Source organism: Homo sapiens, chromosome 22 (genome assembly GCF_000001405.40).
Source record: "Homo sapiens chromosome 22, GRCh38.p14 Primary Assembly".
Taxonomy (NCBI): domain Eukaryota; kingdom Metazoa; phylum Chordata; class Mammalia; order Primates; family Hominidae; genus Homo; species Homo sapiens.
The window spans coordinates 37,385,622-37,407,815 of NC_000022.11; the positions used below are offsets into that span (position 1 = coordinate 37,385,622).

General features: G+C 57.6%; 1 protein-coding gene across 2 annotated transcripts in view, besides 2 other annotated features; it reads right to left on the reverse strand.

Moving 5' to 3' along the window:
• ELFN2 (extracellular leucine rich repeat and fibronectin type III domain containing 2) overlaps positions 1–22,194 on the reverse strand; it is an 86,836-nt gene that overhangs the window by 44,978 nt on the left and 19,664 nt on the right. The gene's annotated exons all lie outside the window — the stretch shown is intronic.
• Positions 417–955: an enhancer, noted in NCBI's record as "H3K4me1 hESC enhancer chr22:37782078-37782616 (GRCh37/hg19 assembly coordinates)". NCBI's record gives its function as "activates a minimal SCP1, AML or CMV promoter by ChIP-STARR-seq in naive H9 embryonic stem cells {active_cell/tissue: H9 hESC(naive)}" and the evidence as "EXISTENCE:reporter gene assay evidence [ECO:0000049][PMID:30033119]".
• Positions 16,954–17,702: an enhancer, noted in NCBI's record as "H3K4me1 hESC enhancer chr22:37798615-37799363 (GRCh37/hg19 assembly coordinates)". NCBI's record gives its function as "activates a minimal SCP1, AML or CMV promoter by ChIP-STARR-seq in naive H9 embryonic stem cells {active_cell/tissue: H9 hESC(naive)}" and the evidence as "EXISTENCE:reporter gene assay evidence [ECO:0000049][PMID:30033119]".

Consider the following 22,194-nt stretch of genomic DNA (forward strand, 5'->3'; position numbering starts at 1 on the left):
TGAGGCCAGCAACAAGGGGGGAACCCCAGAGTGGGGACACGTAGAAACCCAGCCTGTCAGGGGTATTCCTATGAGCCTCTCAGCCTGGGACCCAAGGGTGCCCCGATCCCTGCCTCCTGTACTTGACCCCTGCCTGACCTCGAGCCCCCCTCCCCTATCCTCCTGACCCATGGCTCCTGGGTTTTAGTACCAGGATACTAACAGCATGGATCGGTCATTTAGGGAGGGAGGTCTCCAGTTATGAGTCTGGGGCTCAAGGATTCTAGGATGTATCTACCATTTATTTGGTCCTAAAAGTCTCCTGTGTCTTGGCCTCTGTGGGTCACCAATTCTACAGGACTTTAAGCTGTCCTGACCCTCTGACAGCTTCCCCTTGGCTCCATGCGGCCCCACTGGGGAGAGGTCCCCAACCAAGGGAGTTCCCACACAGCCACCCCAGGCCCACCTGTCACCTTGTGGGGCCCACTTCTCTCCTGCCTGGGTCAAGTTTGGGACTCCTACTGGGGTTTGAGGGTTACCCTCTCCCAAACATTATTCCCACCCCACAGAACACTGCCAGCTGGCCTAGCCTAGGTGCTGTTTCCAAGCATGGCCACTGTGGACACCAGGAGACCTGAGTTCCTGAAGCCACACCACAGCTCACCAAGGGGCCCTGGGGTTTCTGGAATGGCTCCTTGGTCCCACCCCTCTCCCCATGGACTCCCTCACTCTGCTCACCTAGGACTGGGACACCTGCCTGCTACGCCCCCAGCCCCCTGTCCCTAGCATGGCCCAGCACCCAGGGTCCTGGAGCCCTCTAGGCCCAGGCTGAGAAACCCCTCCTGAGGCCACAGCCCATTCAGCTTCTGTCGCTTCAGAACCTCTAACCAGGCGATCGCAAGGGGTCAGTATGGACACCAGCTGGGGTGGCCCAAATTCCCTCCCCCTGGCCCTGAGACCAGCTTTCTCCAGAGGAGGTGGGAGGGTCCAGCCCACACTGACGGCCGCCTCTGAGGCTACGGGGGGCCTGCAGCTGCAGCAGCAGAGAACAAGGAGGCTCTGTCGGTGCAGAGGGGTCGACATCGAGCCCCGGAAACTCCCCGGGGAGGGCCGCCGGCTGGGCAGAAACCACAGCCCAAACGTGAGGCTATCTATGTGACAGCTGCTGTGGCCACCAACTCCGCGTGGCCAGTCCACCAAGACCGGCCCTCCCTAACGTGCTGCCAAAGCGCAGGGTCCACATTCAGCTCGAATCCAGGCTATGCCACCTCACCCCGTGGTCCTGGCAAGCTAATCTGTCCTGGGTCTCGGTTTCCTCTTCTGTAAAGTGGGACAAGAAGGGCACCAGCTCAGAGGGCCGTGGAGGGGGATGGCCACAGGCCAGGGTCTGGGCAGGGTCACAGCTCCAGGAAGCTGCCTCCTGCAGGTATCGCTGTGAGGGTCTGGCGCGTGGCACCGTGGCACACGCCAGGCAGGCAGGAGGACCTCATTACCCACCGCAACCATGACAGTGAGGAAGGATGGGGCCTGGCCTGTCTTCCTTTCAGTCCCGAGGGCAACACACCCCTCTTTGCCTCTGTCCCTGTCCCCTCTCTGATGTCCAGGCCCCCCAATAGCCTGCTCCCACCCCCACCTTCAGCCTGTTCCCCGGCCTCGGTTTCTCTCCCAGCGCCAAAGCACAATGGCTGTTATAATTAACGAATTATCTCAGCGTGACAGCTGTGGTCCTTTGAAAATTAGCTTGAATAACAAGATCCTGGTGTATGGTAATTTATTTTCCTCTTTCTCCCCCCTTCTCTCTCCCTCACTTCAGCCTTGTCATGCATGCAAATGTTTTTCCCCTTTTCCTCCTTCCCTGACACCTTCCCCCTCTGTAGCCTCCTCGTCCTCCTCAGGAGGGTAAGGGACAGACTAAGCTTCTGCCTTCAGGTGAAAAGATGCAGGAGCTGACCCTCCTGGGCACCTCGTCCGCGCTGGTGCCAGGCACAGCGCCTGACATGTCGCCTTCTGAAATCTCCCCACAGACCTAAGTCCTGCCACCTTCTTCCTGGGCTGGGGACCTGCAGCTTTGCTTTCCCGCGACCTCCCAGGCCGCGGCCCCTCGGGCTCCTCTGCTTGTAAGCCAAGCAGTGGCCTCCCCTGATGTCCTGGTCCCTGCTCACTGCCTCTCTCAAACCCGCTTCCCCCTCCCCTACCCCAAGAGCCCTTCAACCCTTCCCAAGGCTTCTAATGTCAGCTCTGGGCTGACCACACCCAAACCACCGTACCCAGCTGCCTCCGGGGCCCTTCCCTGGCACCTGAAACTCACTCGTCCATGTCCACCTCCACGGCTGGACTCATCTCCCACGGCCCCTTCCCCCTCCTCCCCTGCTTCTCTCCCAGTTCCCAGACACAGTGAGAGGCACCCACACCTCCCCACCTGCCCCTAGTCCCGCCTTGGTGCCGCCGCCTCCCCCTACTGCTCCTGCTGGTCTCTCTACCTCCAACCCTACCTCCCCACTCCATGCCCCCTCCACCCAGCAGAAGATGAACTTTCTAGAACATCAACCTGAGCATGGCACTCCCTGCTGAAAAGTCTTCGTTGGCTCGGGCTGATCTGGGAAAATTCCAACAGCATCCAGAGCCCAGCCCACATGGTCTTGTGGGAGCCGCTGCCTGTTCTGCCCTCCTACCTGCCTGCCTTCTTCCAACCTGGCCGGGGTCTCTCCTGTGGGTTCCCACAGCCCCCTGTGCTTCCTCCATCACAACCGGAATCATAACTGCTGCTGCTACCTCTGGACTGAGTTCCCCGAGGAAGGGTCCTGCTTCTCCTAGTAGGTGCTCAATAAATATTTGTTCATGGCTGAGTGAAGGAGGCCAGCTCGCCGCCCTCATATAGATAAGGAAATCGAGGCTCCAAGTAATTCATGACTTGCTCAGATCACACAGTTCATGCAAAAGACAAAACCAGGATTTGAACCAGGTCTGTGACTCCAGTGCTCTTCTGGGCTCTTCTGCTCCCTGGGGAAGTCGGGGAGGGGTCAGCTTTTGCACAGATCTCAGGGGACTTCAGCCTCCCTCCAGCCTCAGTTGGGCAATAAAGAGACCAGCTTCTAGCCTAGGCTGTCACTCCCTTGAGTTTGACCTTGGACTAGCCACATGACTCTCAGGGCCTCAGTCTTCTCATCTGTAAAGTGGGAAGGAGCCCCGCCTCACTCTCTATCCCAGAGGGTGGCTGATAGGGCAGAAACTCAGGTCTTGGAGAAAGCCAGTCCTGCTAACATCTGGGATTTTCCTGACCTCACCCTCCAAATCCAACTGCATTGCCCTTGGCAGGCACTCCCCGGGGCTTCGTGGGGGGCGTCCCCAGGATGGGAGAGGTCACAGAGAATAGGAACTCTTTCAGGGGGAGGTAGTGGGAGAAGCATGCGGGGCTTGGGAGTCAGATTATGACCTTGGGCAAGAGCTTCCTCTCAGAGCTTGGCGTCCTCCTCTGTCAATTGGGGCCACAATGAGGACTAATGTACACAGTGCCTGGCACAGTGCAGGTGCTGCCAAGGCCACATGGCTGCAAGGTTCTATGGGAATGTGATCCTGAAGTGTGCCCCAGAGAGGGAGAGAGAAGAGGGTGAGACAGAGCAGGACCAGCTGTTCCTGACTCTCCCTCAACAGCCCACAATGGCTCCCACTGGCCCCAGAATAGAGCTCACAACCCAACCTGTGGCCCTAGAACCCCTCTCTCCCTCTCTAAGCTCACACCCCACCATGTCCCCTCGCAACCCTATGGAATTGAGGGCACGCCCACACCCATATCCACCAGGCCGTTACTCACCAGCGATTAGCTGGTACTAACCCTGGGACCCATTCCCACCTGTCCCCATCCCCTGGGCCGAGACCTTATGCCTCCTCCTCTGAGAAGCCTTTGGAGATCTCCCTTCTGCAGGGTGACCCCCCTGCTATGCCCCCACAACCCCGAGGTATAGCCCTTGGAATCCTGGATGGGTCCTAGAGATCATCTCCCCCATTTTACAAGTAGGGGAAACTGAGGTGCGGACGAGGAACAGCAGCTCTCCAGTGATGCACTTGAACCCGGGTCTCTGCTGCATCCAGCCCACCAAGCAGCTTCTCTCCTGGTGCTGAGCTGTTTAGCCCTTGCCTGTCTTCTCCATGCCCCCTCCCCTGCCTGGAGCTACCTGAGGACAGGACCCCATCTTCCTGTCTGCGCCCCTCCCCCAGTGCCCAGCCTAAGGCCTGGCGCATAGTAGGCACTCAGTAAATGTCTGTTGAATTGAATTGCGCTCAGGGCGGCCAGTCGTCTCTGCTCTGTAAGAAAAGCATAGAGTTAGTGGAGCTCTCCCCAAGACCAGGGGGGTGGGAACCAAGCTGGTGGGGTGAGGAACCTGGCCTGCCCCAAGGAGCCCACGGGCCCTGGGGAGGGGGCCTGGGAAGCTGGAACATTCAGACTTAGATGAGTCCGAATTCTGCCCCAACAGGCTGCATGGCTCTGGTAAGTCACACTGCGGCAGGGCCTCACTGGCCTCATCTGTCAAATGGAGATGACACTCCGGTCCCTCCAGGCTCTGAGGACTGCTTGTGATGAGGACCAGAGAGATGTGAGGAGTGTAAACAGTAAACCCCAGCTCACAAGCATGGAGTGCCCAGCGCCTGACACAGGAGAGTCGGGTGCGAATGATGCCCATTCTACAGATGAGGAGACTGAGGCTTGGAGAGGGGCCTGGCTTGCCCAAGGCCACACAGCCCATGCATTGATCTCATGCTGTACACACGGCCTCCCTGCCAAGCCAGAGGGAAGCAAGGAGTGATAATGAACCCCAGATGAAGAAGCTGAACCCACCAAAGGGTGGCCCAAACCTTACCCAGGCTGGCAAAGATTCTGCAGGCAAAGGGCCCAGCGTGAGCCCCAGAGCTGTGAAGGGAAGGGTGAGAAGCCGCATTCTCCCCTCCCCATGGGGGTGAGCTCTGATTCCACAGCCCCCCAGAGGGTTCAAAGGCATCCTCAGATCCGCAGCTGCAAAGGCCTGGGCAGGCCTGGGTGTTAATATAGATCAGTAGAGACTATAAATACACGGGCAGGCTGGTCACTGCAGGGCGGCCAACCTGGCACAGCCAAGACAGAGGTTCTAACCCCAGCCCTGCCCCCTCCCGCCACCCCTCTCCCTTCTGGGCCTCGGTTTCCTTGCTTGTCAACAGCAGGCTGCTCCATGACCATGACTGCCAGAAGGTTCTTTACCCAGCAACACACAGTTTTCTGACCCCAGCCAGGCTGGCCCAGGGGGAGGCCCTGGAGGCCCAGGCAGAGACCTGGGAGAAGAGAAGGATGTACAACAGGATCACCCCGGATACCTGAGACAGTCAAGCGAGGGGCTAGACTATGCCTCTGCTCACCAGCCTGGAGCTGACAAGAGGCAGAGAAAGGAGCCTAGAAGCCAGCCATTCATTCATTCCCTCTCTCTCCATTCAAACAGCCATGCTGTGAGCACGGCCTCCCGCAAGTGGAGGACCCACAGCCAAAGCCAGGCCTTCTGGTTGGGGCTCTGGTGGGGATGACAGGGAGATGAATGGGCATCTCTTTCCCTATCCGCCCAAGGCTGCGTGGGGGCCATCCTCTGGCTCCCGACCCCCATCCCAGGTCGCATGACAGGGACACTGGTTTTACATCCACCTTCTGCCTGGACCACAGCCTCATAGAGGACAAAGACCAAGTGTGGACAGTCTCACTCACCCTGTAAACCCAGGGCCCGGCACCGTCCCAGTAGGCTCTCTGTACACGTCCACGGCTGAAAATCACCCTGGGAACACAAGAGAGCCACCACGCACAGGGCCATGACACAGGCCCAGGAACAGAGGAGCACACCGCGCCGGCACCCGCTGTGTGCCAGGCCCCCGCACACTTCACACATGGCAGCCACACTGTCATGCCTGCTTGAAGGATGAGGGAACTGAGGCTGAGAAATGATAAGAGACATGCCCAAGAGCCCACAGCTAAAGTGGCTCAGCACCCATGACTCCCCAGATACAAGTCCAGCTGATACAGCAGTCTGACCATCAAAGGGACGGTGTCTGGGACTCCCCGAAGGCCAGGCATAGGTGAAGGGACAGTGTCCCACTTCCTCATCAGAGCCTCAAAACAACCCCAAACGGCAGACAGACCCTTACATGACAGGGAGAGAAACTGAGGCTCTGAGAAATGACCTGTGCCCAGCCCCAGGCCTGGCAAATATTGGAAAGGGCCTTCCCAGGCAGTGCGTGGGTCCCACATCCTCTGAGACTCAGGAGGAAGGGGTGCAGACCTGGGCCTGAGCCCAACTGGCCCTCGCGTGGCTGGGTGACATGGGCAGTGACCGGCCCCCTCAGAGCCTCAGTTTCCCCAAGACCCATCTCCTCTGCCCCACGCACCTGCTGCAAGGAGGAGGAAAAGGATAACCCACGGGCAACTCCCCTTTAAAAACTGTAAAGTGCCATTCATCTTTGTTCTTCCTTCTTGCTGTCAGTGCAACAGAAGCACCGTCCATCTTAAGGGAATTTAACTGCTACCGTTAGACTTTCCTTGGCCCTCCTCAACCACTTCTCTGCCCCCGTCTCTAAAAAGGCTCACCTGTGTTTGTGAGATGCTCACAGTGAGCCCACCCTTGTTAAGGGATTCTCTCACATTTCATCCTCAGGATCCTAGGAACCAGTTTTTTGTTGTGTTTTTTGTTTGTTTGTTTGTTGGATTCTCTTTTTTTTTTTTTTTTTGAGACAGAGTCTCACTCTGTCGCCCAGGCTGGAGTGCAGTGGCGCAATCTGGGCTCGCTGCAACCTCCGCCTCCCAGATTCAAGCAATTCTCCTGCCTCAGCCTCCTGAGTAGCTGGGACTAGAGGCGCCCGCCACCACACCCAGCTAATTTTTGTGTATTTTTAGTAGAGACAGGGTTTCACCATGTTAGCCAGGATGGTCTCGATCTCCTGACCTCGTGATCCACCCGCCTTGGCCTCCCAAAGTGCTGGGATTACAGGTGTAAGCCACCGCGCCCGGCCAGAACCAGGTATTATTTTTATGCCCGTTCTGCAGATAAGGGAAGTAAGGCTCTCAGAGATTAAGTGACATCCTCAAGATCACATTGCAAGAAAGTGAGCGTGCTCCCCACGCCACTGTATATTTGCCCCCACATATCTGTATATTCCACTCTCAGTGGCTGCTAGAGACCTCTGGTTGGTTAATGCCCATCTGTTCCCTGGTTTATCCGACTTCCCAGATGTATGTAATATTCATATTTCCATCAGCAGCAGCTCACGCACCCCTTTCCAAGGCCTTCAGGAGCCCCATTAATCATTCAGACACACCTGCATATTCATTAACTTCTCAATTAATACAGGGTCCCTTATTACTTCAGGCCTGCTGCCTGCATTAAAGACACTTCAACTTCGTTCATTATTAAACTCCCCTGATAAATGATCAAACCCCTCTTTCACAGAGGGGGACAGCGCCCAGGCCCCGGGGCTAGCAGGCCTGCTCCCAGTGACAGCTGCTGTGTGACCTTGAGCCAGGCCCTCACCCTCTCTGAGCCTCCTGTATGTTTACCTGGTAAAATCAGGCAAAGGATGGTCTCTGACCACCACCTGGCCTCGTCAAGGTGGCCCTGTCTCATCCTTTGTCCTTTCTCTGCGTGTCTTTTCTTGGACTCACGTAATCCCTCCCCAGAATGGAAGCCGATCCTCTCTGGAGGTTTCCTTATGCTCCCCCATCAACAGCCTCCACTCGCACCTGGGCCTGGGCCTGGGCTTTGCAGTCAGTGGGCCTCAGGTCCTGGCACTGGCCCATCATCCTGAGGGCAGCATCTCCGGGCTAACTTGGCTTGGGCCTGGCAGACCATGACACGTCCCAAATCAGAGAGGACAACTGACACCCCCCACCAGTTGCCGGACTCCAACTGCCACACAACAGTATCGATGAGGACAACAGTAATAATAACAGCACCCAGCACTTCCTGAGCCTGGACCACGCCCCAGGCCTTGCGCTAAGTCCCATATGGTCCCATCCTCAGATCAACCTCCACTTAACAGATAGGAAAGCTGAGGCCAGTGAGGTCAAGTCATCTCCCTAAGCCAGGCTGGAGCTGGCTCTGCACCCAGGCCTCGCTGACTCGGGGTCCCCAGAGCGTCCCCATCACATGTGCCAACAGGAGGCCCCAGCACTCGGCCACCCTCTTGCCCTGGCTCCTTCCAGCACCTTCTTCCCAAGCTCTTCCTTTATAGGCCCGATCTCTGCCTAATGGAGCTGCAGGCGACACGGAACGGGTCCCCCATTCGCTGGCAGATGCCCCAATCCATCTCCATTATGCCTGGCGCTAAGGAGCACTGCAAATGAAGCGTGATGATGCCACCGCCAGCATCACTCCTGCTGGCTCTGACCCGCCTGCCACCTCCACCTAACATGCACACCAGGCTGCGACTGATGTCCACAGGCCCAGCTGCCACCTCGTACAGATGCAGGGATGGAGCCTTTGCTCCTGGCCCCACTGGCTGTGTGACTGTGGGCCCCTTACTGAAACTCTCTGTGCCTCAGTCTCATCATCCAAATTATGTCTGACTCCACCCTCTCCCTCGTCTCTCATTTCCCATCCACCTCGACACCTCTCCAGGCCACACACCTGTGTGTCTGCTGCCGCCCCTCCGTCCAAGCTTGTCTGGATGGCAGCACCCACCTCCCAGGGTCTCTAGTGTGCCCCAAGGTCCTCCCCTCCCTCTGCTCGGCTCGGGTGCTGTCTTTTATGGACTCACCGAGGCCTCTTTCTTAATACCCTTTCAGCCGCTTCCACAGTTCCCAGGCTAAAGCCAGACGTCCTCCTGAAGGTCAAGGCCCCTCAGGGGCCTGGCCCGGCCGCCTGTTCCAGGCTCCCTCCCGCCCTCCTCCCGGGCAGCCTCACCTCTCCCAGGATGACTCCTTGGTGAGTGTCCAGCCCCCGTGGACCGTCAGGGGGCCGCAGTGGCCAGCACCGTGAGTCCTCCCCCGCAGCTCCCGCCCCGGCACACAGTAGGCAGAGCGATCCCGCAGCTTAAAGGAATGCCCCCATCGAGTGCAGACAGCAATTTCATCCTACGGGCCGTGGTGACTGTCAACAGTGCCTCATACGCTGTAAATGAAGAACTCTTCACTCCTCGCCTGGGACTGAGCACTGGGTTGGCTGCCGCAAACTCAACACCAACCCCCGACCTTACAGGGTGTCAAGATAAAGATCGTCAGGCCAGGCGCAATGGCTCACGCCTGTAATCCCAACACTTTAGGAGGCCGAGGCGGGCGGATCACGAGGTCAGGAGTTCGAGACCAGCCTGGCCAACATAGCGAAACCCCGTCTCTACTAAAAATACAAAAATTAGCTGGGAAAGGGGGCACACGCCTGTAGTCCCAGCTACTCGGGAGGCTGAGAGGCAGGAGAATCACTTGAACCCAGGAGGCAGAGGTTGCAGTGGGCCAAGATCACGCCACTGCACTCCAGCCTGGGTGACAGAGTGAGACTCTGTCTCAAAAATAAATAAATAAATAAATAAATAAATAAATAAATAAATAAATATTGTTGGATTAATTTCTCAGATGAGAAAACGGAGGCTCAGAAAGACAAAGTGGCCTCACAGCGTCACAGCTGGTAAGTGGTGAGGCTGGGATTCAAACCTGGCTCTGCCTGTGCCTGGTTCCAGCACCAGAAGAAACGTCCTAGAAGTAGTCAAGGAGCATCAATCGAGTGCCGACCACACGCCAGACCCAAGTAGGCATTTACATCAATCACTTCATGAAAACCCCTCCACGGCCCTGGGAGACGGGCACTGTTATTCTACCCATCTGAGACACGAGGGATCAGGCCCAGAGCAGTGAAGCCACTTCCCAAAGGCACACAGCTAAGAAGTGGCAGGGCCTGAGACACACCAAGGTGTTGTCCCCTCTAGCTCTGCCCAGATCTCCTTCCCAGCCTCCTCTGCTGTCAGGGGCACTCTAGGGAGAGAGGCACCCCTTGGCTGGCTCTGTGGCAGCCAGGAGCTGAGCAAAGTCCTTCTCTACCTGGGCCTTGGCTTCCTCACCCACGGGGGGCAGGGGATGTGGACAAGACAACCTGGGGGTCCTGTCAGCACTGGCACAATATCCGTGCACCCAGGGGCCCACCACACACCAGGTCCTGGGCTTGGCACCGTGGGCTGCAAAGACCTGCAAAACTAGTGTCTGGCGTGCAGGGCATCACCAAGGGAGGCCCAGGGTGGGAGGGGCAGGGAGCCACCTGTTCAGGGCTCAGGGGACAAGCAGGGTGCAGGTCCCTGTCTGCTGTCAGCACAAGCACCACAGACCCAACAGGAAGCCAGAAGAAGGGTCACGGACACAGCTGAGCCCCCAGATACCCGAAGCTGGTGGTTAAGTGGGAGGCTCAGCACCTCTGAGGACCCGCTACCACCGGAGGGCTGGAGACCCCCGGAAGGGGCTGCATCCAGCTAACCAGACATTCCACATCCGATGAGCACCTAGCCTAGGATTTCAGGCACACCGTGGAAAACACAAAGACAAGCCAGGAACTCACAGACGGACAAATGCGCCAGAGACTTTGCTATTTAAAGAAAGCTTCCTGTGAATTATTTTATAAACTAAGTATCAGCCTCCAATTCCCCATCAAAAGCTTGAATTTTCAGATTGGGTTTGCTGAAAGTGAGCTAACACTCCTGGCTTTCTAGGTGCTTCTGTATTGCACACCCCAAGGGTGGGACGAGGGCTGTGTCCCCACCATGTCCCCGGCCCCCAACATGGGGCCAGCGTGCAGAAGAGGCTCAGCAAATGCTGCAGAAGCCAACTCTGTTAGCGCACTCATTTCCAAACCCCAGGAGCAGAGCTGCTTGGGTGCCAGGATCCCCCAGCGGGCACACCTTGTGCCATCTACTTTCAGACCCTCTGGGGCACTTTGAAGGAGGTCAGAGCTGGCAGATCCCTTAGCACTACCCAGGCCCCTGTCATGCAGCAGGTGAGGAAACTGAACCCAGAGAGGACAAGAGCCTTGAGCCCTACGGCCTCCCAGCCACGCCCCCTTCCCTTCCAGGCGCCCCCTTCCTGCCCCGACCCACTAACCACTGCTGCTCCTCCAGGCTCTGTCCTTGGCCTGTGGCACCCTCGTCTGCCCTCTCCTCCAGGGTGGCTTCATGCATGCCCCTGGCTGCTCAGATCGCGCTCGGTCATGGTCACCACTGCCTGCCTGCTTGCTCAGGCCCAGATCCCAGCTTTCCCGTCAACTCCTGCCTCTCCCACTGGAAGATGAAGATCAGACCAGCCTCCAAGTCCATGCCAGGACAGGCCACTATCATCACTTGCCTATCACTCACAGGGATCTCCTTTTTTTCCAGGCAGAGGGAGGCTTCCGGAGGGCAGCTCTGATGCTGTCTCTCCTGCTCAAAATCTTTCTAGGGCTCCCTGCAGCCCCAGGGCTAGAGCCTAAGCTCCTTCTTGGTGGGTGACCACCAACACGGTGAACTCCTACCAGCTTCAGCTCGGGCATCACCGCCTCCAGGAAGCCTTCCTTGAATCCCTGGTCTGGCTTCACCACTCCACTCCACAGCACCCCCATGCTCACCAGCTCCAAGTGGCATCCCACTGAAGGGTCACTGTGTCCCCTCCAGAGGGCCAGGAAGCACGGCGTGCCCCTCTGTGCCCCCTCAGTGCCCCCAGTGAGAAGCCTGGCATGGAGAAGGCACCCAGGGAGTGAAAATTGAAAACACAAAAGAACAACATAGGCCCCCAGGCATGTAATTCCCAGCTGGCATCCGTCTCCACTCGCTCACCCCCACCCACGCTGAGTGTGCCCATTATTATGACTGATGACAGCCAGGCCTCCCAGCTCCTTCTGGCTGCTGTGACCATCAGGAAGCCGTCCAGTACGATGGCTCCCATGCTGGCCCTGCCCACAGGACAGTCTGGTCAGACGGGTGCAGAGGGACAGGGAAAGGAGGGGGAACGTGGACAGAGCCCCTGCTGGAAGCCTCGCCTAGACCCCAAGGTCAGCTGACTCTGCTGGCCTTGTGGGAGCCCCGCGTGACCTTCTTATGTGGGGACGTGGGGCTCTCACTTCCAAATGAGGAAACTGAGGCTCCAAGAGCAAGCAGCCGACCTGAACCCAGAGATCGGCATTGGTCTCCTGCCCACTTCTTCTTACATTGGATCCAGGAGCTTCCTAAGCACAAGGAGGGGAACGAGCTACCGGGCTGGGCATTTTACAGGCGTTCTGGGAGGCTGTGGGCACCCGGGAAAGAACACCAAGTCTGGGGTCCTCATAACCTGGACTCAGACCCTTGCTCGGTTCCCCTCAGCTGTGTGGCCTCGGCAGCCCGCGCAGCTTCTCTGAGCGGACGTCTGCACTGGTCCCTGGGGGTGCGAGGCTGCCCTGCAGGGTTGCTGTGTCAAATGAGACGGTAAGGACACAGCCAATAACAGCCGAACATCTTCCAGGCCACGCTGCGGGTGGATTATTGCATCTAATCCTCACAGTGACTCTGGGAGGCTGAGTCTAACAGGGTCCCCATTTGATAGACAATGAAGGTGCCAGGGTCAAACGCCTTACCCAGAGCCAGGCAGCTGTGGGCGGTGGAGCTAGCGCTCAGGCCTGGGTAGACCGTGCCGGGCACATGGAGGGCCTCACTAAACAACATTATTTTTTGACTCCAACCTGCCCTTTATTCCTCAAAGGCCCCTGAATATACTGGCCTCCAGCCTGGCCTCTCCCTCCTGCAAGCCTTCGTAGGGACTGTTCCAGCCACCTGCCGTGCCTCTCCTTCCACTTCCAGAAAGCAAACCTCTCACCCTTTACATTCTCATCAAATGCTACCTCTTCCACTGAGCCGCCCTGGGCTCCACCACCCCACTCCTGTCCGGCCCCTTCCCCCTACCCCAGTAAAGCCCCCCAGCACAGCAGTCTCCTAACTGACTGTCGCCTACCCTGCCTCAGCCCATCCTCTGCACAGCAGCCCAAGGAAGCCTCCCGCAGCGCACTCACATCGCCGCCCTGCTCTAAAGCCTCTGGCGCCTCCCCAGCTCCTCTGCTCCACAGTTTAGGCCCCTCATGATCTGGCTTGGCTCTGTCTCTGCAATGTGCCCTCCAATACCATCAAGACAAACTGCTCCCCGCTTCACACACGCAGGCGTGCACACACACGCATCTACACATGTCATGTGTGCACACATGTGCACACATGTACACCTCTCCAGCTGGTGCGGGATCTCCTAGGCTCCTCCCTTGCTTGGGCCTCTACTTCCACTCCTGCCTTACCCACCTTCCCACCTCCAGCCCAACCCCAGAACAGCACCTCCAAGAAACACCCCCTGTAATTCCTCAGCTCCCCTACCAGCTCCTTCCTGGAACACAGCATCCACCTGGCCTGTTCCCAAACACATACATGCTCCCTGCTGCTGGAAGACACAGCGTCCAGCCTTTTCCTGGCCCGGAGGGAGCTCAGGGGCCTCTGGTGTCCTCCCCAGACTCCTGGATCCTCCCTCCCCACTCCCAGGGATGGGCACGTGAGCTTCTTACCCCTCTCTGAACTCGGAGAGGCTTTTTGCAGCTCTTGGCCTTTCCCCTTGAGATTCCCCGGCCTGGAGTACCCTCCTGTCCCATCCCCGCCCAGTGAGTGCTACTTCTCAGGCAGGACTCAAAGCTGCCTCCTACAGGAAGCCTTCCAGCCCACCAGGCCTCAGCCACCCTGTAAGGACTGGCTGGCAAGTCTGCCCCTGTGTGGGCTTCCTGAGGGCAGGGACTCTTTTCATGCCCAGGCCCATACTGGCTCCTTGAGAACTGTCTGCTGAGGAAACATGCTCCCTCCTGTGCCACCCCTGAGTGCCTGGAGGCACAGCAAGCAAGTTGATCAGACCACGGAGACCACCGGCCCACCTCTCCCACCTCCACCGACCACGGGGACCACCAGCCCACCTCTCCCACCTCCACCGACCACGGGGACCACCGGCCCACCTCTCCCACCTCCACCGACCACGGGGACCACCAGCCCACCTCTCCCACCTCCACCGACCACGGGGACCACCAGCCCACCTCTCCCACCTCCACCGACCACGGGGACCATCAGCCCACCTCTCCCACCCCCACTGAGCCCCCTGCGTCGCACACCTGGGCCACCGGCCTCTGCCCTCACCGGCTGCTGGCTCCCATGAGATTGGAATAGTATCCAAAATCTTCCCAGACTTCACTTCTTCACCTCCCACCTCACTCACTTGCTCCAGCCACCACCTCCCCGCCATGGCCGCCTTGCTCCTCCTGGTAAATGAAAGAAGGAAGGGCTTGCAGAGCTTGACCACGTGCTTCCTCAGCACCCACTGAACCCTCAAACCAGCATCATTCGCAAAGGACAGAGGAGGAAACTGAGGCACAGAGAAGGGAAACAACTGCCCAAAGCCAGGCTGCTGCAGGGTGAGGCCTGCAACCACCCCCTCCCTGCCTCCAAAGGCCAAGCCCTCCACGTCCCCAGCCCATGCAGCAGGTCCCTAGGAAACCGGGAGGGGCAAGGGAGTGCAAGGGAGAAGAATGTAAGGAAAGGCGGGGTTATTATCCTCCCAGGTCAGGGGCCTCAACCACCCTCCACTCCACTCAGAGATGCTGACCCACCCCCTCGTGTCTACCCCCATCCCACCCCACTCCGGTCCAATCAGACTTCACCTTCTGTCCACAGGCCGACTCCCACTGTGGACAGAGAGCTGCCCCCACTGACACGGGCCTGGGGGTAGCAGCAGGGGCAGTTGTCCCCTCCCCTCACCCCCGGAGGCCCACACACCTGTGCCTGAGGAGCACCTCAGCCACCTGGAGGGCCAGGGCTGCCTGGGCAGGGCTGGGGCAAAGGCATTCTGGCATCTTAGGGCCTCCTAGCAGGTGCCTGGTGACCAAACCTGACTACCAAGAATCACAGCCTGGCAGAATTGGAAGAGCTTAAACCTCTTCGCTGTCACCCATTAGACAGATGGGAGCCTGAGGCCTGCAGGGGTGCCAGGACTCCCCAAGGCCCCCTCAGCCTCCCCACCCACCCTCGGTGGGCACGCCTGCTGGGAGCAGCCCCTGAGCCCCTGGAGGGAAGGACATGGCCTCACTCCCCGCCAGGGTCCCAGCACCCGGCCCAGAACAGGAGTTCAAGAGTTTCCTTGAACAAATAAAAGCGTGAGAGAGTCCATGCCGGACACAGGCCCTGCCTTGCCTTCTTGTAGAGGGATCTAAAGGTGGAGATCAAACGAGGGCATTAGCCTGAAAGTGCTTTCAAAACCCATAAATCACTACACACCTGGAAGGGACTTGTAATCCCTAAGTGGCGAAAACGGTCACAGGTTAAGTATTTCATTCAGTCATTCATTTCATACCGATTCTCAAGTCCTGGCTCTGTGCCAAGTCCTGGGGACGGTGCAGGGGACTGGCAATGACCTCAACAGACATGGCACTGCCCTGAGGAAGCCCACGGCTCCAAGGGAGTCAGTCAAACAGGGTACCAGGAATTACAAGCGGAACATGCGGGGGCCGTGGGGCCTAGGCCAGGTGGGGCTGCCTGGTCTTCCAGAGGAAGGGTCACCTAGCTCTCAGGCCTATTGGAGACAAAGGGTCTCCAAAAAGCAGGTCAACTAGCAAAGGGAGCACAGCTCCCCAACCAGCCAGTGTCATCTCAGGTGGGCAGTGTCTAAGACAGGGACACACAGTTGGGCAGTATATATAACACTATCATTGTCCTCATTTTAAAGATGAGGAAACTGAGGCCCAGAGAGCCAAAGCAACATGCCTCAGGTCTCACAGCTCTTAGGCAGCAAAGCTGGTGGTCATGGGGCCTCCTGCACATTCTCAGGTCCCTGAGGAGGCTTGGAACAGTTTCTAGAACATTCAGCCAGTGAACTAAGGGCCAAGCCACTGTGATGGGATTCAGGCCAGCTGCTCCACTCCCAGCAGGGAGGGAGGAGGCCGCAGCCAGGGTAGGCCAATCACACAGTGGGCCCTCAGGAAACACGGCCCCAGCTGGACCTGCAGAAATCACTAGAAACAGCCCAAACAAACCATCCCTGCACAGGAGCTGCCTAATGCGAGCCTGGGGGCCACCGCCCTAGGAGGCGCGTGAGGTTTCCCAGTAACCAAGCCGGCCCGGCAGCCCTCCCTTTAATGCATGCAAACGAGGGGCATAAATTTCTGCTTACTTAACTTCACAAATGTTAACAAGCCCATAAAAAATAAGTTATTCTTCCCCAGCTCCACAACACCCTTCGTTTGTTTAATTTTGCTTCTCCTCTCCCCGCCCCCAGCCTCCTTGGCGACAAGGGAAAAGCTTGTCTTTTCCGTCTTCCATCTTTCCCTGCCTGCGGGGTCTGCCCTTGCCTCAACCTGCCCCAGGGAGGCTGAAGGAAGAAGCCCCAGATAAGGAATCAGAAGGCCCAAGAGTGAGCCCTGCTCCCTCCTCCACAGCTGTGTGACCTTGGGCTCCTGACTTAACCTCTCTGTGGTTTAATTGCCTCATCTATGAAGTAGGAACAGTAGCTGCACCCTGCCTGCTTTGGGGTTCCTGGGAGGATCAGAGGAGATAATCCAAGTAAAGTGCTTAGTTGTCTCTGGCACAGAGCAAACCCTCAATAAATGTTAGCCCATGCTATTATGTAAAGAAGAGTTAAATACCCTCCGGTTAATCCATTTGTAGAGTTTGTCTTCCGGGGCAAGCTGGCAGCTCCAAAGGCAGCCTGTGGTTCGGTTTTGTTGGCAGACTCCGTGTTGACACACATTTGAGTTTTGATGCCATCCAAACTGACCGCTGGAGTTTGCCACAGGCCCACCACACCCTATTGCCCTACACAGACCAGACGTGCGCCTTGCAGTGACCCGGCCCCGGTGAGCGTCTGAGTTTCCCACCCCTAGTTCTTGCCTCTCAAAAGCCTTTCCAACTGGTGATCTCACTAGAGGCATCACTAGGCCCAGCTGACCGATAAGGAAACCGAGGCTCATGAGGGGGGCAGCAACTTGCCCACAGTTCCCAAGGAAGGGGCTGTGGAGCCAAGGTGAGAGTGCAGCCACCAGTCCCAGCCTGTCTTCTCTCCTGAGCCCCTGTGCCACCACGACAGGTTCAGGGAAGCCTCCCTGGCAGCTGGAGGAGCAAATAAATGGCCAGTTACGCAGGTGGCAGGAGAGATGGTGTTCAGCCTCCAGGGGCTCGGTGGGTCCCAGGACCAGGCAGGAGGCTGAGCAGAAGCCAGAGCATGAGCTGGGCCTCGTCCCAGCCAACCCGAGGCATGCCAAGCCAGGGTGGCATTGCTGTGCACCGAGCACAGCACTGGGGACTCTGAAAGATAGGAGACGGGGGTTAGAGGTGGCCTGTTCCCTTCAGGTCTCCTCCACATCCTCCACTTGAGCCCACTTCCAAGAATGGCCCGGGCCAGAGACCATGCCTCACTTGCCCACAACTGCCCCCTCCTGCTGGCATCGAGCAGAAAAAGCCATAGCCGCAGCCTATCCCAGTTACTACCAGCTACATCTTCCCCAACAACATCCCAAGCTGAGGCCACTTTCATTCTTCCCTCTCTCACCAATCGCAAGTCCCCCATGAGGTATCACTCCATGATGCCCCTCCCCCCACCCCCAGGCAGGTGCACCTGTCCATCCATTCATTCTGCAGAACAAAGCTAGGCTCCCAGCACTGCAGGGACTTGCCCAAGGTCCCACCAAGCCCAGAGTGAAACCCAGCTCCTAGACATCCCTACCACCACCTTCCCAATTTAGGAGGAGTCCCCGAGGGCATCCCTAGGGCAGAGGGCAGGGCCAGGCTCCTAAGGGGCGGGGCCATGCAAGGCGAGCGAGGGGCCGGAGGGTGGGGATGGGCCGAGAGAAGACTGGATCCTGGTCTGGGTCCCGGTTGCCTGGGCAACAGGACTAATTAATTCCAACTCCATCTGTGCCTTGGCTGGATGGGCGGTTTGGGCTCCCGGGTGTTTGTTTTGAAGCAAAGGGAGAGAAGCGAGAGGGCCTGGGAGGCTGCGGCCTCGGGGTCTAGCGAGGGGCTGACATTCGCCCCAAATTCACATAGCAGGCCCTCACCCCCACCACAGGAAAAGGCAGAAAAGGCAGGCCAGGCACCCAGAGACCATCCGGGACCTCCTCTCCCCAACGAGGCTCATCATCTCAGCCCAAACGAGGTCTCACACAGCCAGCCATCGGCGGTGCCCGCCGTGTATGCACACGTGTACACGCACCTGCACACGCCGAGGAGACCACAGGCCCCAGAATGAGAGAGCCTTGGGTTTGGCTGCCAGCTTAGCCTTCTGAGTCTCAGCTTCCCTGTCTGTAAAATGGGCAACACCACTCCCCTCAAAGGGCTCTTGGGAGAAAGAGAGGGACGTCCCCAGCACAAGGACACCTGAGGGGCCTCATCTGTCCTGGGGTCCAGGAAGGCTTTGCTGAGGGTGATTCTGGTGAGGGAACCACGTATGTGGTACCCAGAAGGTGGCACTTTTGAGGAACTGGAACAAGGTCAGGAGAACTGAGATCAAGATAAATGGAACATCAGAAGGAGAGGGAGCCCCGAGGCCGAGCCAACTCCTTGCAGATCTCAAGGTTCTGGATCTTGGCCCAAGGGCAGTGGGGAGCCAGTGACATGCTGGGGGGGTGACACCAATGGAAGGGTTTGGAATGCATCGGAGGGGCGGGAATGGCGCCAGCGGCCTGTGAGGAGGCTGCAACGAGACGGGCCTGGAGGGTGACTTGGTGCAGGCAAGGACAGCAGGGTGGGCACATGAAGGCAGATTTGAGTCAGGCTTAGCGAAGAGAGTCGGGCAGGATGGAGAGAGAGACCAAGGGGGGAGTTCAGGGATGCCACCCAGGGTCTGGGTGGGTGGCTGAGTGAGCGTAGTGCCTGCCCTGGAACAGGGAGCCTCAGAGAATGGGCAAATAGCAGTGCAGGAGGACAGAGGCAGAGCCCGGGTGGGGCCAGTTGAGCTTTAGGGGTCAGAGGAACACCCCAAAGGAGTGACCAGTCAGCAGGTGGCCACACGCAATGTCCTACAGCCAGAGGCAGGTGACAGTGGAGGATGGAGACTCAGGCATCCCTTGCACACAGCTGTTAAGATGCTGGCCCGACAGCAGCGGCTGACACCCAGGCTGGGAGGGTCAGCGCTCAGGGACAGGTGCAGCAGCTGGGAGTGGATGCTGGTGCTCAGGAGCCTGCCACATCTGCCTGTGTTCAAAGCCCGAACCCAACACCTCACCAGCTATGGGATCCTTGGCAAGTCACTTCACCTCTCTGAGCCTCAACTTCCCCATCTGTAAAATGAGAATAAAAGCAATACCTACCACATAGGTTGTTGTGAGGAGGGCCATCCCCCCAGATCCTTAGCTGAGCCCCAGAGACACAGGAGTTCCAGCTACCTGCTGGTGATCAAGAAGGAAGGACTGGGCCTCAGGCCCTGGGCTGAATCCTGGGTCCCCTACTTACCAACTGTGGAACCAGGGCAAGGCCCCTCACCTCCCTGAACCTCAGCATTTTTTTTTTTTTTTTTTTTTTGAGACGGAGTCTCGCTCTTGCCCAGGCTGGAGTGCAATGGCGTGATCTCGGCTTACTGCAACCTCCGCCTCCCGGGTTCAAGCGATTCTTGTGCCTCAGCCTCCTGAGTAGCTGGGATTATAGGTGCATTCCACCACACCCAGCTAATTTTTGTATTTTTAGTAGAGAGGGGGTTTCGCCATGTTGGCCAGGCTGGTTTTGAACCTCTGACGTCAGGTGATCCACCCACCTCGGCCTCCCAAAGTGCTGGGATTACAGGCATGAGCCACCATGCCTGGCCACCTCAGCTTCTTAAAATGTAAAATGGGGATAGTGAAGGTATCAACCCCATGGCTCATGGGGTCACTGTAAACATGAAATAAGAAAACATGTCAGGCATGGGTCACCTGCCTGGGACATAGCAAGCACTAAATAATTCATCACTGCTGTCATTACAGTTATTGTCACTGCTCCTCCCAGTGACCCAAGAAGGGGGATGTGCTGATGCCCGAATAAGAAACAAGAAAGACAAAGGCCTCAACCTAGCATCCAGGACCTGAACTGACCACCACGTGATCGCAGGATCCCCTTTCCCTGCCCAAATAGCCCCCTTAGCCTGAGACAGGGCTGCATGAGACTACCTGGATCTGAACCCTTTCCTGGCCTCTCCGAACTGTGTGACCTTGGACAAGTCATCTCACTTCTCTGAGCCCCAGGTTCCTCCCTTTAGGAAAAAAAAAAAGGGTGGAGGGGGGGTGGTCCTGGGCAGGCACAATGGCTCGCGCTTGTCATCTGAGCACCTTGGGAGGCCAAGGCAGGAGGATCACTTGAGCCCAGGAGTTTGAGACTAGCCTGGGCAACATAGTAAGACCCTGTCTCCACAAAAAAGTTTTTTAAAAACTTAGCTGGGCATAGTGAGACGCACCTGTAGCCCCAGCTACTCTGGAGGCTGAGATGGGAGGATCGCTTGAGCCTAGGAGGTTGAGGCTGCAATGAGCCACGATTGCACCACTGCACTCCAGCCTGGGCAACAGGGTGAGACCCTGTCTCAAAAAATAAAATAATAAAACAAATGAAAAATAAAAAACAAGGGTCCCCTATCTGTACCATTGTCCCGAGGGCTGAACGAGGTGATACGTGAAAGTTGTCCAGTCCAGTGATGGCACACAGCAGGTGCTCAACAAGTGACAGCAGTTACGATCGGTGATTGGATATGAAGACCTGGACACGGGGACGAATGACTGCATACAAGCACTCACAACGGAGTGCCGGGGTGTGGTGCCTGTCAGCTCAATCACACCCCAGAGGGCTGCACATCTCGGGATTCACCCCCAGGTGACCCTCCCTGGCGCTCCCCCATCAGGGAAAGGGCAGAGAGCAAAGGGACCCCCAGACAGTGCCTCCCATCCATGCCACCCCCCACTCCCACCGCCCCTGCAGCAAGCACACAGCCACGCGTGTGCCGCCCCAGCCCCGTGACCCACTAGCAGCCCCTCCCGTCCCCCGCTCTGCATCTGCTCAATTAGGGAAACTGGGGAGCGAGGGAAACAAAGACTTAATTTCTGAGCTAATCAGCCTGCCTCATACTAATTACCATCCTCCCGGGCATTAGGGCAGACTTCCTGGGGGAGGCTGAGGGGGAAGCTGGTCCCTGGGAATGACACCCCTTTCCCCTAAAGCCTGAGAGCCCAGCAATGGGAGGGTGGTGGTGCAGGGGGACAGGGAGGCTTGGGCAGGTGGAATTTCAGGGTGGGATGAAGGAGACGTGGTCAGAAGCAGGAGACAGAGTCCACTGGGCAAAGCAGGCAATGCACCCGTGGTCACCTGGACAGCCCCACCTTCCCAAGGTTCCCGCCCCATCCTCCAGGCAGCCACAGGCTTGGGAGAGGCCCAGAACAGGTGCCCCAGTAGGCATGCAGCCCATGGCCTTGGCCAAGAGGACAGATGGACAATTTGAAGCTGGATAATTGAGCAATGATCAGAGGGAAGTTTCTGGATCATGGCCTACTGGGTGTGTGCATTTGTGTGTGCTTGTGTGTGTGCGTGTGTGTGTGTGTCGTATGTGTACATGAGCACACCAGAACAAGAGGGCTCGGGACTGGGAGCCAGGAAGCCTGCGTTCAATTACCTGCTCAGGCTCTGGGAAAGTCCTTGCCCCTCTGAAATTCAGGCTATACCACAAGCGAGCTGGAGGGCACGATTTTTGGAAATCATTTCAGACGTGACCACAGGGCCACTTATTCTTCAACAAATGCTTGTTGAACACCTACTATCATGCAGCCGGCTCTGTGCTGGCACCACAGGCACATTCGTGAACAAGACAGACAAGGTCCCCAGCCTCACAGTGCTTTCACTGTGATGGGGGAGCCAGGGAGTCAACACGAAAATCAAGAAACAAGTGCCTTGGCTTTGGCAGATAGAGGAACGTGCTCTGTAGAGAGTCCACCCATAGGATGTGGACAAGCGATGGGGCCACCACAGGTAGGGCTTATGGCAGCATTTTTTAGAAAACGCCCCACCCGGCGGCCAGGCGCAGTGGCTCATGCCTGTAATCCCAATACTTTGGGAGGCTGAGGTGGGCGGATCACGAGGTCAGGAGATTGAGACCATCCTGGCTAACATGGTGAAACCCCATCTCTACTAAAAAAAAAAAATTAGCTGGGCATGGTGGCAAGCGCCTGTAGTCCCAGCTACTCGGGAGGCTGAGGCAGGAAAATGGCATGA